The sequence below is a fragment of the Homo sapiens genome, chromosome 8, assembly GCF_000001405.40.
Source record: "Homo sapiens chromosome 8, GRCh38.p14 Primary Assembly".
In the NCBI taxonomy this organism is placed as follows: domain Eukaryota; kingdom Metazoa; phylum Chordata; class Mammalia; order Primates; family Hominidae; genus Homo; species Homo sapiens.
Window position 1 is genome coordinate 99,835,906 of NC_000008.11, and position 24,355 is coordinate 99,860,260.

The 24,355-nt window shown below is 42.5% G+C and overlaps 1 protein-coding gene across 2 annotated transcripts in view, besides 1 other annotated feature; it reads left to right on the plus strand.

Moving 5' to 3' along the window:
* VPS13B (vacuolar protein sorting 13 homolog B) overlaps window positions 1-24,355 on the plus strand; it is an 864,307-nt gene that overhangs the window by 822,632 nt on the left and 17,320 nt on the right. For both annotated transcript variants that reach the window (NM_152564.5, NM_017890.5), the window contains exons 55-57: window positions 12,871-12,989; window positions 17,546-18,351; window positions 23,399-23,575. In NM_152564.5, the coding sequence (NP_689777.3) occupies window positions 12,871-12,989; window positions 17,546-18,351; window positions 23,399-23,575 (1,102 nt within the window). The remainder of the gene's footprint in view (window positions 1-12,870; window positions 12,990-17,545; window positions 18,352-23,398; window positions 23,576-24,355) is intronic.
* Window positions 23,484-23,983: an enhancer, noted in NCBI's record as "H3K4me1 hESC enhancer chr8:100871617-100872116 (GRCh37/hg19 assembly coordinates)". NCBI's record gives its function as "activates a minimal SCP1, AML or CMV promoter by ChIP-STARR-seq in naive H9 embryonic stem cells {active_cell/tissue: H9 hESC(naive)}" and the evidence as "EXISTENCE:reporter gene assay evidence [ECO:0000049][PMID:30033119]".

Genomic DNA, 24,355 nt, shown 5'->3' on the forward strand with positions numbered 1-24,355 from the left:
AACTCAAGTATGTATCTGCAAAGTAGACTACACAATCATTGACTAGAGAGGAGCACTAGTAAAAGCAGGCCCATCTTGGATCTAATCCAAGGTTGAAATGGAAATCAAATTGTTAGGCTTATTTAGATAGAACATAGTTCAGCTGTACAGATTTTAGTACAGTCATAATACAAATCCTCTTTTGTGTGTTATTAGGATAAATATGTGTATTTTAAAATTAGTAATTTTAAAATTAGTAAAACCCCACAAATATAAGTACAGTTTTAAAAACCTGAGCAGATAAAATGTCTTGATTTGTTTCTGTCTTCGTCTGGATGTTAGTGATACTAATTTTGTTGAAAATGGCATAAGAACTTAGCATTTCCTTTCTTCTGGACTTAAAATTTACCATTTGTTAGTGTATAATTTAGTGACATTAAATATATTTATAGTGTTGTATAACCATCACCACTATTTCTGAAACTTCTTTATCATTTCAAACAGAAACTCTGTACCCACTAAGCAATAATTCCCCATTCTCCCCTCCTCCATCCCCTGGTAGCTCTCTTCTTCTTTGTCTCTGTCTCTATGAATTTGCCTGCTCTAAGTATCTCAGATAAGTAGAATCATAAAATATTCATCATTTTGTGTCTGGCTTATTTCACCTAGCATAATGTTCTCAAGTTTCGTTCATGTTTTAGCATGGATCAGAACTTCATTTGTTTTTATGAGTGAATAATATTGTGCCATACTTTTTTAAAAAGTTCTTCCACATTTATTAGTTCATCTGGTCTTCACGACAAGCTTGTGAGGTAGGCTACTGTAATGGTTACAAACCATATATTAAAGTTACAAATGCATTTACGGTAGTAATAATAATGGTTATCATTGAATAATCACTTACACCATACGAGGCATTGTGCTAAGCACTTTACATTCATTCTCATCTAACCTTGACAACAGCCATACAAGTTAGTGACTATCATCTCCACGGAGGGAGAAGTAGAAACTAAGACCTCCAGAAGTACCTTGGTCTAATTTGCATGTAGTGGAAGCAAAAGGCCTGGAATTTTATCCAGTTTTGCCAGACTGCAAAGCCGGTGCTCTGAGCACAATGCATGCTGTTTCCTTACATGAAACCCCTTGGAACCCCTCTTTCCCAGTCCTCCTGGTGCATTTTTTCTCATCTCTCAAGATTTCATTAAAGCTCCTGTGAAGTGTATTTGTGAAATGTGGAATGACTGATCTGCTAAGGGAGAGAAGGAAAAAGAGAGGGGCCTGAGAAGAGCAGTAGCTGTGGAAACTGGTGAAGGGCCTGGCTGGAGACAGGGGAAGGGATGGTTGAGTGCACTGGAGGGCCACACTCACCCTGGAGACCTGCGTTTGTAGTGGCCACAAACTACTCAGGGGTGTGCTTTCTATCAGCTGTGTTCAGGGGCTGAACAGTGAAAACCCGCGGGATCTGTGCAGCCTCAGGAGATGCTCCCAGTCTCATTAATTTACAAAATAAATATTGCAAGCTTCTCAAGGGTCTCTGAACTCCCCTGCATGGGTTTGAAGATTTTTGAAATCTTGCTTATATTTGACTGGGGAATTCTTTACGATAGACATTCTTCCTGTCAAACCTTATTTTGGGGATTCCCATTCACTCTAAATTTCCTCAAAACTTTGTAGTCAGGGATACTTCAAAGCTAAGAGGAGGTGCTCTTTCCAACACCCTTATCATCTGTGGTTTGAGGACCCAGCAGTCTCATGTTCCCATTAATCTTTTAGGAGCTGTGTGCCATATGTCCTGCAGACCGTGGTTTACTTCCTACTCTGGAGGAAGATTTGTTTCAGACCCTCACCGACATCTCCTCAGTAATATCCCAGGGCATATAAATCACTGGGAAGCAAAAGGAGCTGTGTCCTCTGATGAAAGGAAGGAGCAGTCCTTCTGGAGGAGGGAGTTTGTCTTCCAGGAACCTTCCTCAGCCATTGGTCTGTGAATTTCAAAGCTGACCTAAACAAGCAAAATCAAAACACCATAAAATGCCCATTATGCTGCAAGGAAGAAAACTCCTTTAACTTTTTTCAGTCAAGCCCTCTGCTTCCATTGTATAAATAAGATAGTCTCGTGTTGTAGAATTTTGAAATGGATTGCATGAGGAAATATGCACATAGGAGTTGTATACTCTCACAGAGTATTCTTTGGACCAACAGTTATTGAGAAGACCTGCTAACATGTAGGCTGCAGAATACCGATTGTGAAGTTGCTGTGGGCTTTCTGTGGTTGAATCCCTGGCTCACACCTAGTCAGGAGACATCTCATGGTTATTCAACCAGAGACCTGAAGGTGGCACCTGGTGCTCATACCCATGATTTGATAGTTAGTGGTAGCCTGACTTTAGGACAAAAACAGTCTTTAGGTGCTCAATAAATAAAGTCATAAAAGTAAGTTTACACCAATAATTTTAAGTCATAATTTTGATCCTACCAGGAAAATAGTTCAGACTCCTGTCATAGTGTATAGGATTTTAATTTCTGATACTCTGAAACCACTTTTGTCAGAATTAGGCAACATTATTTTGAAAAAGTCAAAATAAGGAACAAAGAAAACATAGTAGTTACCACTTAACTACCAACAACATTGAGAAGCCTGCTTCATTCATTCAGTCAACAAATACTGAGTTTCTAACATATGCCAGACATTATAACTTGGTACTGGCACCATGTAAAATATACTGAACAAAAATGTAGCACAGCCCCTGCCCTCAAGTTTACCTGTGGAGGAGATAGATAATAAGCAAGTAATTGCACGGGTAGTTGTATTATAAGCACTACAAAGAGCTATGCAGGAAAGGTACAGTTGTGCTATGTGGGTGTACAGCAGACAAGTTTGAGAGGTCAAGGAGGGTGTCTCTTACTGAGAGACCTTGCCTCTGTGCCTTCAAGGTGAACAGGCACTCCCTAGGCAAGAGAGTAGGGAATCTTTCCAGGTAGAAAGAGCAATGTGTTTGAAGCTTCAGTGTTCAGAGGGCACGTGGTCCTTTCAGGGAACTAAATGCCAGTGCGGCTGTAGCGCCAAATGACAGAGGGTCGGAGAGAGGGCTGGTGAGGCGATGAGAGACCAAACCTGGCAAGGCCCCGTAGGTCCTATCAAGGATTTTGGTTTTGATCTTAAGAGTCATGGGAAGTCATTGCATTGTTTATGAAAAGTACTTGCTGAGCCACTGAACTGCAAAGAATGAGTAGTTTGAACCCCAGAAAGTGAATTAAAATGACCCCTTTGCAGGTAAATTCCCTTCTGAAAAGATCCAGTAAATTCTCATGATCTTTGACTCTTAGCAGACATTCGTAGTCGGGTCAGTGTCACTGCTGTTTCTTCGCAAATGGATTGTTTTGTGGGGAGGAGAGAATGACAGTCCTTCATGTTTCTACAGCTCTGTGCCATTTACCAAGTGTTTTCACAGGCACAGTCTCCATTCTTTTATTCATTTGTTCAAACTTTTACTGAGGACCTATCAGGTGCCAAACCCTTTGCCCTAAATAAGGCACAATTCCTGCCTTCAAAGACTTGAATAACCAATAAATGCAGTAAAGGGAAGATAAAGCCTTTGATCACTGCAAAAATTCTAAGGGCAATAAGTTTTATGTCTATTTACTGATGAGAGATTTGAGGCTTAAAGAGTAATCAGCTAGGTGACTTGCAACTAAGCAGGAGCAAGCCGGAGCCTAAATCTGCTCCCATGTGGTCTAGTCCTGTTTTTCCTACACCAGGCTCAAGCCACTGTCTGTCCTCTGAAGTCTTGCCTTGGCTACAAATAGTAGCTGCCTGAAAGTTCATCAAAGCACAGGTTAGAAGAGATTTTCTGATCTCCGCATTCACCTAATGCAAGAATCCCTTCCATGACATCTCACCCCAGAAGGCTCCCAGTGTAATAGTCATTACTTATCCAGTGGTGGCTATGAGAAATTTTCTTCTTGTATCAATCTGAAAACTATTACTCTGTAGCATCCATTCATTCATCTTTGTTTTGCCCTCTGGGACATCACAGATTGTTTATTTCCCCTCAAATACAGCAACGCTACAATTATTTGAAGGCAGCTCCAACATCTTTCCTAAGTGTTCCCTTATCCAGGCCAAACATTTCTGGTTCCTTGAATCATTCCTTCAGTAAATGCAATTTCCACACCCATCACCACAGTTACCCTTGTGTGAACACTCTAGTGTGTTATGTTCCCTTTTAAAAATCTGGCAGCCGGAATTACACACAGTATTCCAAATGTGGTCTAACCAGCTATTAACTCCCTATGCTTCCATTAATAAAGTAAAAGATAGAGTTAGCTTTTTATTAATGAGTTCAGACTGTCTGTTATTATTGAACTTGTGGTCAACCACATCCCCCAGGTCTTTATCATATGACTTGCTATACAGTTGACTTTTTGAACCCAAAGACAGGACTTTACATTTATCCCAAATAAATTAAGTCTTGTTGATATTGGCCTAGTCCAGCTTGTTGAAATCACTTTTTAAAAAATTGTGATGCTGTCATCTAACATATTAAGTATTCCTGGTAGCTTTATGTCATCCATAGATGTGGTGAGCGTGCATTCTACATGTTCATCCAGGTCATTAATAAATATGTTGAACAGGACAAGTTCATGGTTGACATACTGCAGTGAATCATTAGACACTTCCCGAATGCATGGGGTCAATCAGCCAGACTCCACTCTCATCTAGCCCATGTTTCTTAAATAAGAAAATGCATCTAAAATCACTTTTAAACTATACAGTATAAGATATTATCTACAAGAATATCAGAACATACTTTGTTAAGTGCCTTGATGAACCAGGACTCAAATGTGTAATCTGTCCATTTGGTGCAGATCACACAGAGGTAACCTTGAACACTAAAGCTTAAAGCAGCAGGTAGTAATTTTCAGAGTTATGTCTACCCTCCAATTCAGGAATTTTTATAAAGAAAAAAAGTCAGTGCAGGTGAATATCTGATTTATAAAATGTGTAATGCAGGTATTTTGACTTCTTGCTTACTTCGCTCACCTTCCCAGTACTCCAGGGCACAGTCGAACAGATACCAGCAAGTTGGCACTGACTTCTGAATGTCTGCTAGGTACCCTGGTCTAGAGTCTCCTCTGTGTTTACAGTTTGTTCTGGCTGAGTCACAACTGTTTCCAAAGATACTCAGGAGTAGTGATTTCCCTAAGATGTTTTTCAAGAAGTATACAGTAGGAAAAATTACATCCAGAATATCCACTGTTTTCTTTTCATCTCTGTCCAATCCTTCCTACCTTGATCAACTTAGAAATTCATCTTCCTTTCTTCTCTTGGATATCTAATTCACCTCATAGCTTTAGCTACTGCCTGTCACCCAGTCACTCCCAGAAATTGATCTCCGGGCCCCATATTACTCCCAGTGTACAAATCTGTGCTTCTGCCTACCCACTAGACATGTCAGCCTGAAAATCCTACAAGCATCTGAAATCAACACATCTGAAACCAAGATGATCATTTTTCTTACCCCAAGCCAGCTTCTTCTAGAGTCTCTGCATCAGTTAATGTCATCACTGTTTTCCCAGTACAAAAACCATAAATAAAATGGATTCAGATAATATTGAATGCCTGTTTTATCTCAAGCTCTCTAAAGGTATAGTCATTAGTCCCTGTCACATCCTTTAAAAGTAGATGCTACCCAAAGCTCTGAGAGGTGAACTTGCTCAGGATAAATGGTCCTGGGATTCAAACCTGGGACTGTGTGGTTTCCCAGCCTACCTTCTGCCTACTGCTTCTCAGTGTCTTCCTTTCTCTCTGATCCTCCACACATCCAGTAGGCCACCAGCTTCTATCAGAAATATCTCAGAAACGTCTCTGGAATCTGCCCCTTTCTTCTGTGACTGGGGTCTGCTTCAGGCCTTTGGTTCATCATCTCCCTCCCAGATTTTAGCCATAGCGCCTTAATAGGTCTCTCCATTGTCAGCCTCTCCAACCTCAAGTCTCTCTCTGTAACTAACCCCCAAATGATTCCTAAGACACAGACTCCAGCCCAGAGAAGAGAACCCAGTCCACCAGGTTGCTTAAAACAGACCTCCACCTGAGACCAATCAGGCCCCGTCTCACTCCTGTTCCCCCTCTACAGGCCAGGGCTCAATCACCTCTTCCCGCCTTTCAAAGTCTAAGTCTATAATTCTTCCATAGCATGGTTTCCTAGTTAAGATACTCTTTTACAAACCACATATATAGAGATATCAGTAGTACATTTTAAATTTATTCCTTCCCAAAATGGGAGATGATATTTTTTGTAAGAAATGACTTTTAGCCCAAAGTCAGCTGCACAAATAAAATGCCTAAGTAGCATATTTTCAGATCAGTTTAGACATATCAACTTGCAGCAAAAGATGAGTGTGATACTATCTGCAACTTAAATGTTCAAAAGTAGGGAGACTAGGTGCAATGGCTTATGCCTATAATCCCAACACTTCAGGAGGCTGAGGCAGGAGCATCACGTGGGGCCAGGAGTTTGAGACCCATCTGGGCAACATAGCAAGAACCCCTGTCTCTACAGAAATTAAAAAAAAAAAAAATCACCAAGCGTGGTGGTGCACACCTCTATTCCCAACTACTCAGGATGCTAAGGTGGGAGGATCACTTGAGCCCAGAAGTTGGAGACTGCCTTGAGCTATGATCACGCCACAGCATTCCGGCCTGGTTAACAGAGCAAAACCCGTCTCTATTTTTTAAAAAAACAAAAAACTTCCCACTATTTTCTTTGTCACCTTGTAATTAATTTACTTAGTAAAATTGTTATAATTCTAAAAAATTTGTTACATATAAATAATCATTCAAATAAAGATAACTGAGTACATAGAAAAGCAGAAGTTATATTAAAATGCTTCTTGTTAGTAATTGTGGTAGAAGATATTGTACTAAGTAGAAACCAGTATCCAGGCCTCAAATGGTTTTCTTAGACCTAACATATGTATGATGGGGCTGAGCACAGAGACTTATGCCTGTAATCCCAGCACTTTGGGAGATTAAGACAGGCAGATTGCTTGAGCCCAGGAGTTTGAGACCAGCACGGGCAACATGGCAAAATTCTGTTGCTATGAAAAATACAAAACTTAGCTGGACATGGTGGCAAACGCCTGTAATCCCAGCTACTCAGGAGGCTGAGGTGGGAGGATCACCTGAGCCCAGGGAGGCGGAGGTTGCAGTGAGCCATGATCGTGCCACTTCACTCCATCCTGGGTAACAGAGTGAGACTGAGACCCTCTCTCAAAAAATAAATATGATAGTGTCTTGCTGACTGAAGTGCTCTAACACAGATTCAAATGGCAAAACGGTGAGTCTCTTAGTATATGTCACCTAGAGCCTTCCATGCCACCCCACCTCACCCTACTAGTGAAGAAAGTAAAAAGAACCAAATGATGGCATTGATCAGGACTGGCCGGGTTATTCTGTGATAACAAACAGCTGAAAAAAAAATCCCCTTGGCCATCAGTCATTAATTATTTTTTTCCCCACACACAGAACAAATCTTCCCCGCAAGGTTGGAAGCAGTCACTCCATCACCCTTGAAGTCTAGCACTTCTAAGCGATGCTCAGTCTGTATGTGATGCCCTTTGATCTGGAGACCTATGGAATTACCTGCTCCCCCTTTCCCTGCTGTTTTATAGGACAGGGTAACAGTAATAACCCCTCCACTGTGGAAGGGGGAAGAATGAGAGACATACGGCAGTCTCTTGCCTATGGCAGTTCTGAATGTTTTCTGGGCACATATTGTGGGGTCTATACCCTGGCAGCAAGAAATCAGCTTTCACTGAGCACTGTTTCTAATCCTGAAGGAGCTCTTACCATTGTCCTTCAGGTTCCTGGCTCCACCTTCTGGGAGATCTTCCTTGGACACTTGAAGTTTGTGTTTCATCTCACATAATCACAGTCTCTTTTACTCCAGGTTTGTAAGTATATAGGGCAGTGGTAATTTCTCAACTCAGTAGACTTCTTACCTATTTGGTTCCAGAAAATTCCCTGTGCCAGGAACCATATTCATGGTCCTTAAGACACATTTCTTTGCTTACTTGCTTCCTTCCTCTCTGGATTTAAGAGAGCTTCTACAGGAAAGTTATACCCTTGATTTACATTTTTTTCCAAGTCAATATAACAGTTAAGTTTTAACAGTGAGTGTGTTGCCTATAGTCAGTCTTAAGGCTGAGTGTTAATCTGCCTTCGTGTTCAGAGGCTAAGTTTAGACCTTGCTATTTGAGGCTTTATCTTAGTCTGTTCAGGCTGCTATATCAAAATACCTCAGACTGGTAGCTTATAAACAACAGAAACTTATTGTCACAGTTCTGGAGTCTAGGAAGTCCAACATCAGGGTACTGGCAGATTCGGTATCTGGTGAGGACCCACTTCCTAGTTCATGGATGACCATCTTTTCACTGTAACCTCACATGATGGAAGGGATGAGGGGCTTTCTCAGGCTTTTTTTTTTTTTTTTTGAGACGGAGTTTCACTCTTGTTGCTCAGGCTGGATGGAGTGCAGTGGCCCGGTCTCGGCTCACTGCAACCTCCGCCTCCCGGGTTCAAGTGATTCTCCTGCCTCAGCCTCCCGAGTAGCTGGGATTACAGGCACCCGCCACCATGCCCAGCTAATTTTTGTATTTTTAGGAGAGATGAGGTTTTACCATGTGTCAGTCAGGCTGGTCCCGAACTCCTGATCTCAGGCAATCCGCCCGCCTCAGCCTCCCGAAGTGCTAAGATTACAGGCGTGAGCTACCGCCCCCGGCCTCAGGCTTCTTTTATAAGGACACTAATTGCATCCCAAAGACCCTGCCTTCTAATATCATCACATTGGGGGGCTAGAATTTCAGCGTATGAATTTTGGGGGAACACAAACATTCAGACCATAGCAGGTTTAAAATTATTTCTAACTTTGCAAGGTTCTACATTTCTGGAATCTCTCTATTATCTTCCATTTTTATTTGCAACCTGGCCAATTCTTTCCTGAGCTCATCTCTTCATAAAACAAAACGTAATGTTCCAGACACAGGCAACAGCAGCCAACATAACACCACTGATGCTTGGTTTTCAGACCTCATCTTCTAGAGCTACAGATTTATGAAGTTTATGATCTACCTCTCAAGTCATCTCAAGCAACAGTTTTACTGAATATCTTACCACTTCAAAACATATATGCCCATTTTTATAGCTTTCAATATCGATTTCTACTGTCTGACCATTAAGCCAGGGTCTCCTGTTGTAGGATTTTGCTAGAACACTACTTCTATCAACAATATCTATATTAGTAGTATAAGCTCAGTTATGCTGCCTATCATAAGCCTAGAACTTACCTCTTGTTCATGCTAAATGCCTAGTGTGTGTCCTCAGGGGGTTTTGTTCTACATGGTCACTCAGGGACCCAGGTTGAGGGAAAGTCCATCATCTCGTATCTTCCCCCTTGTAACTAACCACCCCAAAACCTACTGGCTTAAAAGAAGAATGATTAACAACTTCTCAAGATTCTGAGGAAGTGGCCAAGTGACTTTTCTGCAGGATGAGCCTGGGATCACTCGTGCATCTGCATTCACCTAGAGAGTTGGCTGAGGTATGGGTGCAGCTGGGAAGTCTGGGTGTCTCTCTCACCATTCTGTCTGTCCTCCTTAAGGAGGCTAGCCCAGGGTGGCAAGCAGGAAAACCCCAATAAGCAAGCTGTATCAAGCTTCTTACTTGCTGATGTCATGTTAGCTGAAGAAAGTCGCATAGCCACGCCCAATGTCAGTATGGGAAGGTACTACACAAGGGCATGGATACTGGGATGTACAATTCATTGTGCAACAGTCTTCCACAGCTATCTAGAGCAGGAGTCAACAAATATTTTTTTAAGGTCTGGATTGTAAATATTTTAGGTTTTGCAGGCCTTATGTTTTCCCGACTTCTCAATAGATGGAGAGATATGTAAGTAAATGAGCATGTTCCAATAAAGCCTTATTCACAATAGCAGGCAGTGGACCAGATTTGGCCCACCACTGAGCTGTGGAACATAAAGCCCTTATTTATTCTCTAGAAGGAATACATGTCAATTCTGCCTTTAGCCCATTGGCCAAAACTAGTCACAAGACCATATCTAACTGCAGGGGTGGCGGGGAGTATAATCCTGCTCTATTCCCAGAAGGAGAGAAGAGCTAGACATGTGTGGACACTAGAAGTCAATACAGCAGAAGCCACATTGAGAAGATGTATGTTCAGATCATCAGCTTTATCTTTATTGAGTACCCGGCACTGGTTGTAAGTACTGAAGAAAACACACACAAAACCATTGCCCTCATGGAACTTACACAGAGTCCATGATGGTGAATACACTGAGAGGGAGACGCATTTTATACACCTGTGGTCTGGAATTGTTAGTTGTCATCTCATTGTTTGTGTACTTGGCTTTTTCGCCAACTAGGCTGTGAGCAGTGCGAGGGTAGGATTGCATCTTCTCTGTGCCTGATGCAGTGACTAATTCTTTGTAGGCACTCTTTAAGTGTTTGTCAAGTAATTGATTGTTCAAACCATTAGACCAAGATAAGGATTTACTTTGGACTTGTGGGGAACCTGGATATAGATGCCTAATTCCTGTATCACTCAGGTACCTAACTATCTAACCCCTAGAGCTGCCATCATGCAAAAGGCTACAAGGTGTGAGTTGTTTCTCTAAATGTGAAAAGACAAGGATAGACTAAAGTCTGTGTTTCTTCCATTCATAGCAGTGAGTGAAAGGGACAACAAGCAAAAATTTCCCTCCAGAGTCTAGGTTTTTTGCCAGAAGAAGTACCGTGAAAGTTCAGATTAATTTGCTTGCCTTCAGAAGGCCCTTGGGGCATTTAACAGAAACCATCACCTTACCTTAGGTTTATTATCTTAGAAAGTGTAAGTATCCTCATTTCATAATGCCTGAAAATCACTTAGAGAAGAGAACAGTAAATATTTCTCTATTCGCATCCCCTCCCTCTCTCCTCTAAGGGGTCCTGAAGTTATGGACGGTGACTTAGGAAAAGGAATATGAGATGGGAGCATGGGACTTAAAAAGGTTTCTACTGAATGGATAATTTCATATCTTTCAACCTAGTAAAGAAAAGCAATTGATTTACCTTATGTATCATACAAAGGGATGGTGTTTATAGATAGGAATATTTCTTAAAGAATATCTCTTTTGTTTTAGATTCATGAGCTGAGCCATTTTTAAGCCATTAATTATGTTTATTCTCAAATTTTATTGTAAGTTTAATTTTTACCTTGGAACAAATAGGGCAAATTCAGAATACAAGTCTTTTGAAAAAGATATTTTTGCAAAACAGTCCATTTGGGAAACGTGTTCATAGAGAATACAGATACAACAAATGGACTCCATTTCTGCTGTCAAGAGATTTACAATCTAATAATTGGGTCAGACACATAAGTAACTGTAGTACAGACAATAATATTTTTGATCAAATAGAAATATGGTTAAAATTGTTTTAGAATGTAGAAGTAGGTGTCAGTCCAGAAGGGAACAGAAAAATTAAGGAATGGCTCTATGGAGTAAGCTATCCTTTAAGCTGTATGCACCAGGACATACAGGCTTTTGAAAGGACTTATATGGAGAAAAGTATATTCTAGGCGTGGTGAGTAGTGAGTGGCAGGCAAGGGCCTCAGCTGAAGCAGAGGCTGTAAAATGAAAAAGAAGGCAGCAGTGGAAGAACCAGGAAGAGCTGGAGGGGCTGGGCTGCAGCAAGGAGCAGAGGGAGAAGGCAGAGATGACATCCAGGTAACCTGCATGCTGAAGATGGTCAGAAATTCTGAATTTCTGAAGTCCATGAGAAAGCCATTGCATGAGAAAGAAGACCAGTGACCTTGAAGTTGCTTCCAAATAACTCTCTGGCTTTCTCCTGTGGTTCTGTGTACACTCTGGTGCTTCTTCATGTGATCAAAATTAGAATATATTCATTGTTGGTCAAGCAAGAGGCCACCTTTGTTCCGTCATCCAGGAATTTTCAGTATGTCTGATTTTATTTGCTGCCCTAATAATAACATAGGGCCCAGACTTGGACTGAATTGATACTGCAAATCATCAGAACCAGCCTTCCCAAGCATAAGGAGGTTTTTGCCCCTACCCTCAGGTAATCCTGGCTGTGAACATGATGTTCTTGGAGTTGTTTTTTAAATAGCCCTGTTCTGTTTTCAAATATTTACCCATTTAAGCAACTCACTATTTAATACTGAAAGGGTGTTTGTTCCACTGTCTGGCACCTGGATCCTGAGGTAGAGCTTTTTTCTAGGTCTTAGTCCATATTCTCATGGTAGAAAAATTAATTTTTTACTCCGAGCAAATTAACTTATATCTAACATTCTTGTTACGAGTTACATGAAAGACCCTAGAGGGGTTGTGATATGCTCCTAGGTGGGTTTTGAGGTATGTTTTTGTGTCCCTAGCCCAGAAGGACACCCCTATAGAAGTAAGTCAACACCCAAGAGCCTGAAAGTTGTTTGCACATTGCACTTCAAGTCCCAAGTTTTAGTTTTTTTCCCACAAAGATCCATATGCACACATATAGTGGGCCCCATGTCTGAACTCCAGCCCACACAGAGTTACTTGCCAGTTCCAAAGAAGCAGAGAATGAAGATACTCATGCCCCATCATCCATCATTTTTTTCTATGAACCTTACAGCTGAATATTGAAAAATCTGGTTTTGATCTTTTGGGTATTTTTTTTCATTTCAAGTCAACTGAATAGCCCGTACACATGGATATAAAGAAATATAACCAGGAATTGTTTGTGGTATTGAATCAGAACTGGAGACATTTGAAGTCAAGCCACTTCAATAGTGTTTCTTATTTCTTTTTAATCAGATTTTGAATATTCTTTCTGCAGGTTGTGTTCCTGACTGGCTTTGGCTATGTGTATGTGGATGTTGTACATCAGTGTGGCACAGTCTTCATCACTGTGGCCCCAGAAGGAAAAGCAGGACCTATTTTAACCAATACCAACAGGTAGGTTTAATTATTTTCCCAGTGACAACATAGTAAGTGTTACTGTTACAAAGTTGTAAACTTAGTATTTATCTTTGTCATCTCCACATAATGTATTAAAGCTTTTGGTTAATTATCATGTAATCCATAAAAAATATGGTTATTAGCACTAAATCATCCCTTCAATAGGTAGCAATAAACCGTCTTTCCTAGATACCACTTGCACTCCTTCTGTGGTAGGGTTAACAAACTGATTTACAAACTATGCATCTTGGAATCATACCACTATTATTAGCATGAAATGCACATTAATACCTCTGTGTCTGCATGACAGTGTAGTAATTAATAATAAAACTTAGCAATTAGAGCTACATCAAATATAAATACGCCTCTTAGAGCCATATTTTCCACCCCCCACTTTGACCTGAATGTTGCCATCAGGTTTTAAAAACATGAAATAGACAAAGAGTTAATATCCTTAATTTAAAAGAATTCACATAATTCAATAGGAATAATATAAAGATGGCCTTACAGAAACAAAAATAGGGGCAATAGGCATGAACAGAAAATTCTAAGAAGAGGAAATATAAGTAATCAAAGAAATGCTAATTTATCAAATTAACAATGATGTTGTATCATATACAGTCCTGGTGAAAGTATAAATTGGTACTATTTCCAATTTATAAGCACTTTGGTAATACATATTAAGAGCTTTAAAATCCTTTTGGCTTAGAAATTCCACTTTTAAGTGTGTTAGGAGTTTCAGAGTTAAGGAAATGGAGAAGTGGGCAAAGATATACACAGAGAGATGTACACAGTGAGAGATATCACACAGTTAATTACAATGGCAAAATATTCAAAGTAAAAATGCCCATCCATAGGGAAATAGATGATACATAATTGTACTATAAATGTTACAACTGCAAAAAGTAGATCTCAAAGAATTTTAATGGAATAGAAAATGCATATTATAATCTAAAATAAAACAAGTAGAATATAATATTGAATATATATGATCCTAGTTATGTGTTATCTGTACATACATACATAAGTACGCATGTATGTACTTATACATACCTACATAAGTACGCATGTATGTACTTATACATACCTACATAAGTACGCATGTATGTACTTATACATACCTACATAAGTACGCATGTATGTACTTATACATACCTACATAAGTACGCATGTATGTACTTATACATACCTACATAAGTACGCATGTATGTACTTATACATACCTACATAAGTACGCATGTATGTACTTATACATACCTACATAAGTACGCATGTATGTACTTATACATACCTACATAAGTACGCATGTATGTACTTATACATACCTACATAAGTACGCATGTATGTACTTATACATACATACATAAGTACGCATGTATGTACTTATACATACATAAGTACGCATGTATGTACTTATACATACATAAGTACGCATGTATGTACTTATACATACATACATAAGTACGCATGTATGTACTTATACATACATACATAAGTACGCATGTATGTACTTATACATACACAGAAAACATTCCTAGAAATAAGACTGAAAAGAAAAAAACTCAAAATTGGTAACAGATGTGGGGTTAATGAGTTATTTAATATGTAATTATTATTTGATTTCTGTATTTTGATTATTTATAATAGCATTTATTTTATGATCAGAAAAAATAACTTAATATTAAAATATAAATACCACCAACTTTCATACGTTTGTTTAAATCTTTCTTTTAAAAAGCTCATTGCAGCCAGGTGTGGTGGCTCACACCTGTAATCCCAGCACTTTGGGAGGCCGAGGTGGGTGGATCACCTGAGGTCAGGAGTTTGAGATCAGCCTGGCCAACATGGCGAAACCCTGTCTCTACTAACAGTACAAAAATTAGCCAGGCTTGGTGGTAGGCACCTGTAATCCCAGCTCTTCAAGAGGCTGAGGCAAGAGAATCGCTTGAACCTGGGAGGCGGAGGTTGTAGTGAGCCAAGATCATGCCACTGCACTCCAGCCTGGGCGACAGAGCGAGACTCCATCTTGGAAAAAAAACAAAACAAAACAACAACAAAAAAAGTTTATTGCTTCTCATATATGGTTAAGAACTCATTAATTTGGACTCTGCTAATTTGAATTTATAATATTTCAAACAATGTTGGATAGAATGTTTTCTTTGCCCAAAAGTGTTCATAAAAAATTAATAGCATAACAAAATTGAAGACGAACTTTTAACTAGTATAGCACAAAATTTCGGGTTTATTCAACAATTTCAGAAACATTTTATCTAGGGCATAAATGTTAATAACAATAGAAGCAAACTTTCATGAGAAAGGTACAAGTATTTCTTGGAATTTCATTCATTCATTCAACAAATGTTTTTCAAGGGCTTATTGGATGCCTAGCATGGGATGAGGATACATCCATAAATAAAAAGGCCCAATCCCTTCCCTAGAGAAGATGACTTTCTCCTCATAGGCATGGAATTGGGCAAGGTGATGGGGGGTGTAGAGAGTAAACCTAAAAAGAAAGGAAATGTTATGGTGCAGTAGAAGGTCAGCATTCTACAGGGATGAAAACAGAGCTCAGTAAGAGGGGCTGGAAGTGCCAGGGCCAAGGGACTGGGAAAGTGTAGTTTTAAACAAATTGGTGTAGGTAAGCTGCACTGAGAAGTTGATGTTTGGGCGGAGACTGGAAAGCAGTAGGGGGTTAGTAATGTGACTATCTGAAGGAAGAACTTCCCAGGCAGAGGGCACAGCCAGTTCAAAGGCCTGCAACAACATGCCTGGCATCAAGGAGGAGCAGGGAAGAGGCTGTTGTGGGCCCAGTGGAGGGGGTGGAAGTGGAAGTAGCAGTGCATGAGGTCCAGGAGGTAAGAGCTAGAAGGAGGGAGACCTCATGGGCCATTGAAGGGCTTAGCTTTAATTCTAAGTGAAATGAGGAACTCATTGGATCATTTTTGAACATAGAAGTGACACCCTGTGACTTAAATTTCTAGAAGATCATTGGCCGCTTTGTTGAAGTAGACTGTAGAGAAACAAGGGCACAAGCAAGCAGGGAGACTAGTTAGGAGAGGATTACAGTTGCTCACATTAGAGACACTGATGGCTTAGACTACAGTGGTGTCAGTGGAAGTGGCAGAAAGAGTCAGATTCTGGATATGCTTCTAAGGAAAAGTCAATGGGATTTTCCTAATACATTGAGTAATGGCTAAAAATAGAGGCATCAAGGATGACACCGAAATTTTTGGTCTGAGCAACTGGTAGGATATGGCTGCCATTAACTAAGATGAGAGAGACTATCTGCAGATTTAGGAGGAAAGATCAAGAGATTGGTTATAGACATGATAAGCTGAGATGTCATTTAGACATCTAAGTGACTGTGTGGATAGGTAGTTTGATACACAAGATTGGAGTTCAGTAGGGAGCTCCAGGATAAGTATATACTTTGGAAGCCATCAACATATAGATGGTATTTCAGGTCATAAGACTGGATGAGATCCCCAAGGAAGTCAGTGAAGATGGGGGTGAGAAGAGGACCAAGGGCTGAGCCCTAGGCACTTTAAGAGGTCAGGGAGAGGAAGAGGGATCTGCATAAATAACTGAGGTCAGAGAAGTAGAAGAGCTGAGAGAAGACAGGAAAGAAAAGTATTTCCAGGAGGAGGGAGTTGTCAGCAATGTCATATGTTGTTAGTATGTCGAATAAGCAAAAAACTGAAAGTCCATCATTTGATGTAGCCAAATGGAAGTCACTGATGACGAGTTGTTTTATTAGGCTGGGGATGGAGGCACAAAAGGCTGCTTAGAGCAAGCCTTAAAGAGCAGGGAAGGAGAGGAGTTGGAGACAGTGTGTATAGAACACACTTTAGAGTTTCTGTGTAGAGAGGATCAGAAAAATGAGTGGTAGCTAAGGGAGAGAGTGGAGTCATGAGGGATTTTTTGAGCTGAGAGATGACAGCATGTTTACAAGCTGCTAGTAATGAAGAAAAAGATGATGGAGGAAAGGGGTGTGAGTTGCTGGAGGGATGTCTTTGAGTAGGTGAGAGCAGAGTGACTTGGTGCACTTTGGAGAGGGGTTCACCTGAGACAGAAGCAAGGGTGGTTCCGCCCCAGAAATGGAGATGGAGAAGAGCCAAGCATGGACTCAGGCACGGTTGATGGGCAGTTGTGGCAGGAATTCCTGCTAAGTTTTCTTCTGCTCACATCACTTTTTCAATTTAGGGAGTCTCAGTTACTTTATTATCTCTTTCTGTCTTGTGATCATCATGATAGAGAATTAGTACACAAAGACTAGAGGGATTTTGGGGTAAAAATCTGGTGTTGATAAGGGAAACATAAGGAAACATGACAAGAGCTTGTAATAGTCCCATTGGGAACATTTCCCAATACTGTTGGAGTGTGACTGACTCCGTCCAGACACAATGTACTGAAAGTTGAGTTCTTATTTGTTTCTTATGAGAATCTGATGTCCCATCAGGAGGTATTTAATAGGGTACTGTCAATAAAAAAGAAAGAAGAGAGAAAGAAAAGGTGAGTGGGGGGACTAATGTTCTTGTCCCTTTCTCCTCTAGAGCGCCAGAGAAGATTGTTACATTTAAAATGTTCATCACTCAGTTAAGCCTGGCAGTGTTTGATGACCTCACCCACCACAAAGCATCAGCTGAGCTTCTGAGACTCACACTGGACAACATTTTTCTCTGTGTGGCCCCGGGAGCTGGTCCCCTCCCTGGGGAAGAGCCTGTGGCTGCGTTGTTTGAACTTTACTGTGTGGAGATCTGCTGTGGGGACCTGCAGCTAGACAACCAGCTTTATAACAAGTCCAATTTCCACTTTGCTGTCTTAGTCTGCCAGGGAGAAAAAGCAGAACCCATTCAGTGTTCCAAAATGCAGAGTCTCCTCATATCCAACAAAGAGTTGGAAGAATACAAGGAAAAATGTTTTATCAAACTTTGCATCACCTTAAATGAAGGCAAGAGCATCCTCTGTGATATTAATGAGTTCAGCTTTGAATTAAAACCTGCTCGGTTATACGTGGAAGACACATTTGTATACTACATCAAGACTTTGTTTGACACCTACCTTCCTAACAGCAGGTTGGCTGGTCACTCCACACACCTCTCCGGGGGTAAACAGGTGTTGCCCATGCAGGTCACACAGCACGCCAGGGCCTTGGTGAATCCTGTGAAGTTACGGAAACTGGTGATCCAGCCAGTAAATTTGCTCGTCAGCATCCACGCTTCCCTCAAGCTGTACATAGCCTCAGACCACACTCCTCTCTCCTTCTCGGTGTTTGAAAGAGGACCCATCTTCACCACTGCGAGGCAGCTTGTGCACGCCCTGGCAATGCACTATGCCGCTGGGGCCCTTTTTAGAGCAGGTAAGAACACAAGCTGAGGGTCTGTGATGAGCTAGAGCCCGGGTAGAAATGACACGCTTGGGGGTAGCACCTCATTTCAAGACCTAAAGAAGCAATTGGCAAGAGGTGACACACCTGAGCTCTACAGTTACACAGAACTGGATCTAAATCTAGAGCCTGCCACTGTTAGCTGTAAGACTTTGGGCAAGTTATTGAACCTTCCTGAGTCTCCATTTCCTCATCGATAAAATGGCTTTGAAGATTTCTGAGAGGATCAGATGAAAGTACGTGAGGTACCCAGCATTTTGCTTGCCACTCAATAAACATTCAAGCAGTAGTAGCTGTTCTGTAACTTAGAATTTTAGTTCAGTTTAGCACACACTTTTTTTTAGCAACTTGCAGGCACAGAGCCCTTTCTTAGCACACTAGAGCAACTAGGAAAACTAGCCCAGGTCTTCAGTCCCTCGGCCTAAAAGGAGTCCAGTTCTCGTTTATTTTCTTCATTGCTATTTATGAATAGCGGTAGGTGAGAAATTCAGAGGATTTGTGTGCTTGTAAGATGCACATTGAGCCCTCTATCTACCCAGTGCTGCACTGCCTGTCTATATAGCTGGCAAAGGGAAGGCTGTGAGTGTGTCAGCCTCTCCACAGACCTGAGCTCAAAGAGAAGGAATGGCCCATCCACTCTCTGGGGCCAGGCAGGTGGCCTCTTGCAGGCTGAGGGCTGCTGTTTCTCAGGGACTCAGTGGGAAAAGTAAGGATTCCCTTTTCAGTCTGGCTGGAAAAGTCTGCAGGGGGTGGTTTGAACATGCATACAAAATTTTATAGAGGGACTACTGTGTACTAGCAACTGGTGGATAGCAGGCGCAGTGGCTCACACCTGTAATCCCAGCACTTTGGGAGGCTGAGGTGGGAGGATCACTTGAGCACGGGAGTTCAAGACCAGCTTGGCCAACTGGTGAAACCTTGTCTCTATAAAAAATTAAAGTTTAAAAAATTACCCAGGTGTGGTGTCGTGCACCTGTAGTCCCAGCTACTACTGAGGCTGAGGTGGGAGGATTGCTCGAGCCCAGGACTTTGAGGCTACAGTGAGCTATGATCACATCACTACACTCCAGCCGGGGTGACAGAGCAAGACCTTGTCCCAAAAAATAAGATTGAGTGGTGGGAACCATGTGGTCTCAGGGTACGTTATGGTAATCGGCATCACAGTGTGTGTTCTTGAGCCAGGTTCACTCTAAAGCAGTTTTAATTTGATAATTGGGTTCCCAGAAATTCAAGCAAAGAACAGCATCCAGAGTTAGCCTTGTCAGCCCTTTCCAATAAAGAACATGGAAATCTTACTTTCTGAAAGTAACAGAGGAGAGAGCCTTTGTTCTATCCTCTTTGTAAAGTTGTACTTTGTGAATGCGTTCCCATGTAAGATTAAGATTGCAGCAGTAAACGACCTGTGTTATTGCCATATTGGTCAGATTACATTTTCTCCATAATGAAATTCATAGACTTACTAGGGTTATCTAGACTCTTTTATAAAAGATAACAACAAGATCAGGGAGAGGGTCCTGCCAGACCTGTTGTCTTGATAGCTTGCACAACAATGAAGAAAACATTTCCCTATTGCTAAAAACTCATTTAAAAATAAGCAGTCCACATTTCAAGTTTAATAGATGGGTGTATTTATAAACAGTTCCAGAAACTTTCCCTTCAGGCAGCCTTTGCTTTTTCACATAAGAAGCAGGCACGTAGGTTACTGAGCTCCAATCTGAGGCCTGGCAAGGACGAAGGCTCCCATTCAGTCTCTGCACGACGCAGCAGTGCAGTAAGCAGCAGGGAAACTCTACCTGTGGCACCAAGTAACGGGCCCTGCAGCCCGTGTGCTAAAAACGAGCTCTCTTTGTTTTGGTTTATATTTTTAATGAGCTTTCACAAGAACATTCTATTTGAATTTTATAGAATTCACCCAAAAATCCTCTAAGCTGCCGTTCCAATCTCACTGTATACCAAGATAAGGGATTCTAATATAGAGGGCCAAGTTTTCAGAGCCTGTTGGAAACTCTGTCACTAAAAATCTATGGACAATCTGAAGACCATCTGAAAGAAAGCAGTGATTGAAGGAGTAGGAAATGGGAAGATGCTGGAGGCTCCAGACTCCCAGGTTAGCATCCTTGTCGAGGGAAGGGAGAGAGCTGGCTGCAGGTGGGCAAGTTGCCCACCCACATCTCACTTGAGTCAGAGTGCCCCTGCCTGTCATGGAAAACACCCTGACCTCATTTCTAGGGAAGTTGTGGTATCAACTTGAAGAGGTTTTAAAAATAAAGAAACAGGCCGGGCGCAGTGGCTCACGCCTGTAATCCCAGCACTTTGGGAGGCCGAGGTGGGCGAATTGCCTGTGCTCAGGAGTTCAAGACCAGCCTGGGCAACATGGTGAAACCCTGTCTCTACTAAAATACAAAAAATTAGCCAGGTGTGGGGGCATGCACCTGTAGTCCCAGCTACTTGGGAGGCTGAGGCAGGTGAATTGCTTGAACCTGGGAGGCAGAGGTTGCAGTGAGCCAAGACTGCACCACTGCACTCCAACCTGGACAACAGAGCGAGACTCCATCTCCAAAAACATAAAAAATATTTAAAAATTAAACAACTAAAAATAAAAAAGTATGGGTGGGAGAGGCAGAATAAAAATAAATAGTAATTGGAAATCAGTAACTGACCCTATCTGAAGGAAAGCATGTGGTCTTTATCCTGAGGCCCCTCTCTAACCCAAAGTCTCAGTTTGTTGGGAGCCAGGCAGACTCCCTTCTTCAACCAATTTCCAAACGACTGAGCAAAAGATAGATTTGCTTTTGAAGGGCAATAAAGGAGTACCCTTGGATCTGTCTGCCCTTTTCTGACCAGCTAAGATGTCACTGAGATGTAGCTCTGGCCTACACATAGCCCTTCTATCAGGCAGTGGCTTCAGGATTCAAGGGTTCCAACCCCACGACAGGGGAGGACCTGCCACTGGCAGGAGCAAGAGGCCGAGGCGGATTCCCACTCCCTCTCTACGCCCACGGCACCGACCTGAACAGGCCTGTCGTGGGGGACACTGCTTGGCCATAGCTGCTACTCCTTTCTTTTATACATGGACTCCGTGGAGAGATGGGGAATTAAGATGTTTCTAGACCAACCTTCTGCCGTTAGGTACACCCTTACAGCCATTCAGGGCTAAAGGGAATCTGCTGTTTCTTTACCTCCAGAGAAGGCCCTCCATGGAGGAATATTCCACAGCCTCCCCAGCTCCCTCGCCTACTCTTTGCAGCCTGAGCTCACAGAAGAAAGAGGTGGGTGAGCTTCAGAATTAGGAAAACCTGGGTTGGAAACCCAGCCCACAGGTGGATCATCCAGGGGACTGTGAGCAGTTGGCTTAGTCTCCAAGCCTCAGTCTCCTCCTTTTCCTGCCTGTGAGGCCGTGGAAGCAGTACCACCATGTTGCATTCACCTCTGCCTCCTGTGCCTGGTCCATTCCCTGACCCAGACAGCAGCTCAGTCACCAGTTAGCCTGCACTGATTTGAAGGGAGAGAATACTTTTCTTGCAGTTACCGTGAGAATTAAATGTGTTGAATGCCTGGCATCCATAGGGCCTCTCATTTGTAATCTTTATCTTCCAGAAATTATTCCCTCCTTTGCCCTAAACCCTAGTGTTATCATCCTAACGTTCCAGAGAAGGGAGGAGGGCTCAAAATTTAAGAGCGTCCCTCTCTTCGTGGGCTGGGCATGGGATTCTTCGGGACCTTGGCGTGGCTGTTGTACCCTCACCTTCCTGATCCCCTCAGATCGCTGAGCTGAGGATCTCTGTCACAGGACTGTCCTCCTCTTCAGAGCCTGCTGGTGAAGGAGGGATGGCTCCCACCCAGTCCTGTCCCCACAGCCTTCCCATTACCGGGCTCTGAGCACCAGGCTGGGGAGGTCAGTGGCTTCCCGGAGAAAGCTGTCTTTTCAGACTCCTCCTCTCCTGGGCCCTCACTTGCCCCTCCAATTCTTGGGGCCTACAGCCCCAAATCCCCACCCCAGAGAGCCAGGGTAAGGGCAGTGCCTGCCAGACTCCACGCACAGCCGCGTTCCCATGGGGCAGCAGCGGCTGAGTGGCAGGCCAGCTTCTGGCCAGCCCAAGCTTCAGGAGGAAACCAGATCCAAAGCTGCCCTCCTGGGACATGCACAAGGGAACACTCCCCTCTCACTAACCTCATCAGAATGTCCCTGTCACAGAGTTCAAGACCAGCCTGGCCTACATGGTGAATCCCCATCTCTACTAAAAATACAAAATCAGCCAGGCGTGGTGGCATGTGCCTGTAATCTCAGCTGCTTGGGAGGCTGAGGCAGAAGAATCGCTTGAACCCAGGAGTCAGAGGTTGCAGTGAGCCGAGATTGCACCACTGCACTCCAGCCTGGGTGACAGAGTGAGACTCGATCTCAAAAAAAAAAAATGTCCCTGTCTCTGGTGTTTACATAACCGGAGCAGGGGTTGAAGGGTCCAAGACATTTGTCTGGGTCTAGCTCTGCTCCAAAGGGAAGCACTCAACTCAGTAGGATTGGGAAAGATTAAAAACAACCCCTCCATTCTTGTCAGAAGTTTGCATCCCCTTTGCGACATGCCATTGAGCATCTGGCCGCCCCTGGCCAGGCATCTCCTCCTATCCTGGTGCCTCCGCTGTCCCGGGGAGGCTTTAGAGAGAACCTCCCACCTGCAAACACCTGCAACCCAAGAAGGCGCCCTTCCTCAGGTGGTAGCAGAGTGCATCCCCGCCACATGGACCCCCGTTAGCAGGAATATGGGAGGCTTGGGCAAGGCAGTCATATTAAAGCCATTTGTGGGGCCGTCAGAGGATCACTTTGATTTATAAAGTATGAAAGTTTGCCATTTATGAATTCACAGAGAATGACTTATTTCCCTTATTTTCTTCCAAAGAAACAGATTACTTTCCCAATTCTAGTGTGAAAAATGAATTGCAGGGAAAATGGGTCACTTTTTCACAAATGTTGAAAGTTCTGCATTTGAGGTTTCAATCACCCCTTCCCTCTTGTGCGTTGCAGGCTGGGTAGTTGGGTCTCTGGATATTCTTGGCAGCCCTGCAAGCCTGGTGAGAAGCATCGGGAACGGGGTCGCCGACTTCTTCAGGCTTCCGTATGAGGGGCTGACCCGGGGCCCTGGAGCCTTCGTGAGTGGCGTCTCCAGAGGGACCACATCGTTTGTAAAGCACATCTCCAAAGGTAGCGGGTTCCGTTCCTTGTAATAATGCCTTCACTCCTTCCCTTTTTTTTTTTTTTTAAAGAATGTGCTAAAGTTTTAAATGCATTCAGATTGCCTCTAGCTTTGTTTGGCCTTTTAGCTTGCAGTGAGAGTTTGGGTTTGTAACAAAGCTCATATATAATGTCTTATGTTTTGAACAGATCACTACTTGCCTCTGGTGTGTGAAAATGTTTCAGAAACTTCAGAATTTTAAGCCTCCCATTGGGAAAACAAGGATTGGCTCAAATGTTATTTCATGTGATAAACACAGAAATATTAAAGGTGTTCAGGATTTCTGCTAAACATCAGAAACCCTACACTGTGTTGCCTCATCATATTTTTTTAAATGTAGATACAGTTGTCATAACTTTCTTAAGGATATGGATACATTCTGACATGGAAGCGGATTTGGGGGTGAAACAGCCAACTTTTCTCTAGCACGCCACGTAAACAGTGCCATCTTGTGGCCCAGACAGGTCATCGGGCATGGAGGCCAAAGTGCTTCCCGCAAGGACAGTGTTTTAGTTTTATCTGTGTGTGTGTGCTTGATGTTATTTTGGTCAGGTTGGCAGAGACTTGGGAACTAACAAGGGCCATCTGAGTCCCCTTTTCTTCTCAGCAGGAGGCAAGGAAAACAGGGCAAAGGGCTTCTTCCCGTAAAAGGCATCTGACTATAGGCCATAGGACAGGTCTGTGAAAGTCTCTGGAAGGCCTCAAAAGAAGACTTGATCTTGAAATAGGAGAATCCATGATCCATAGAG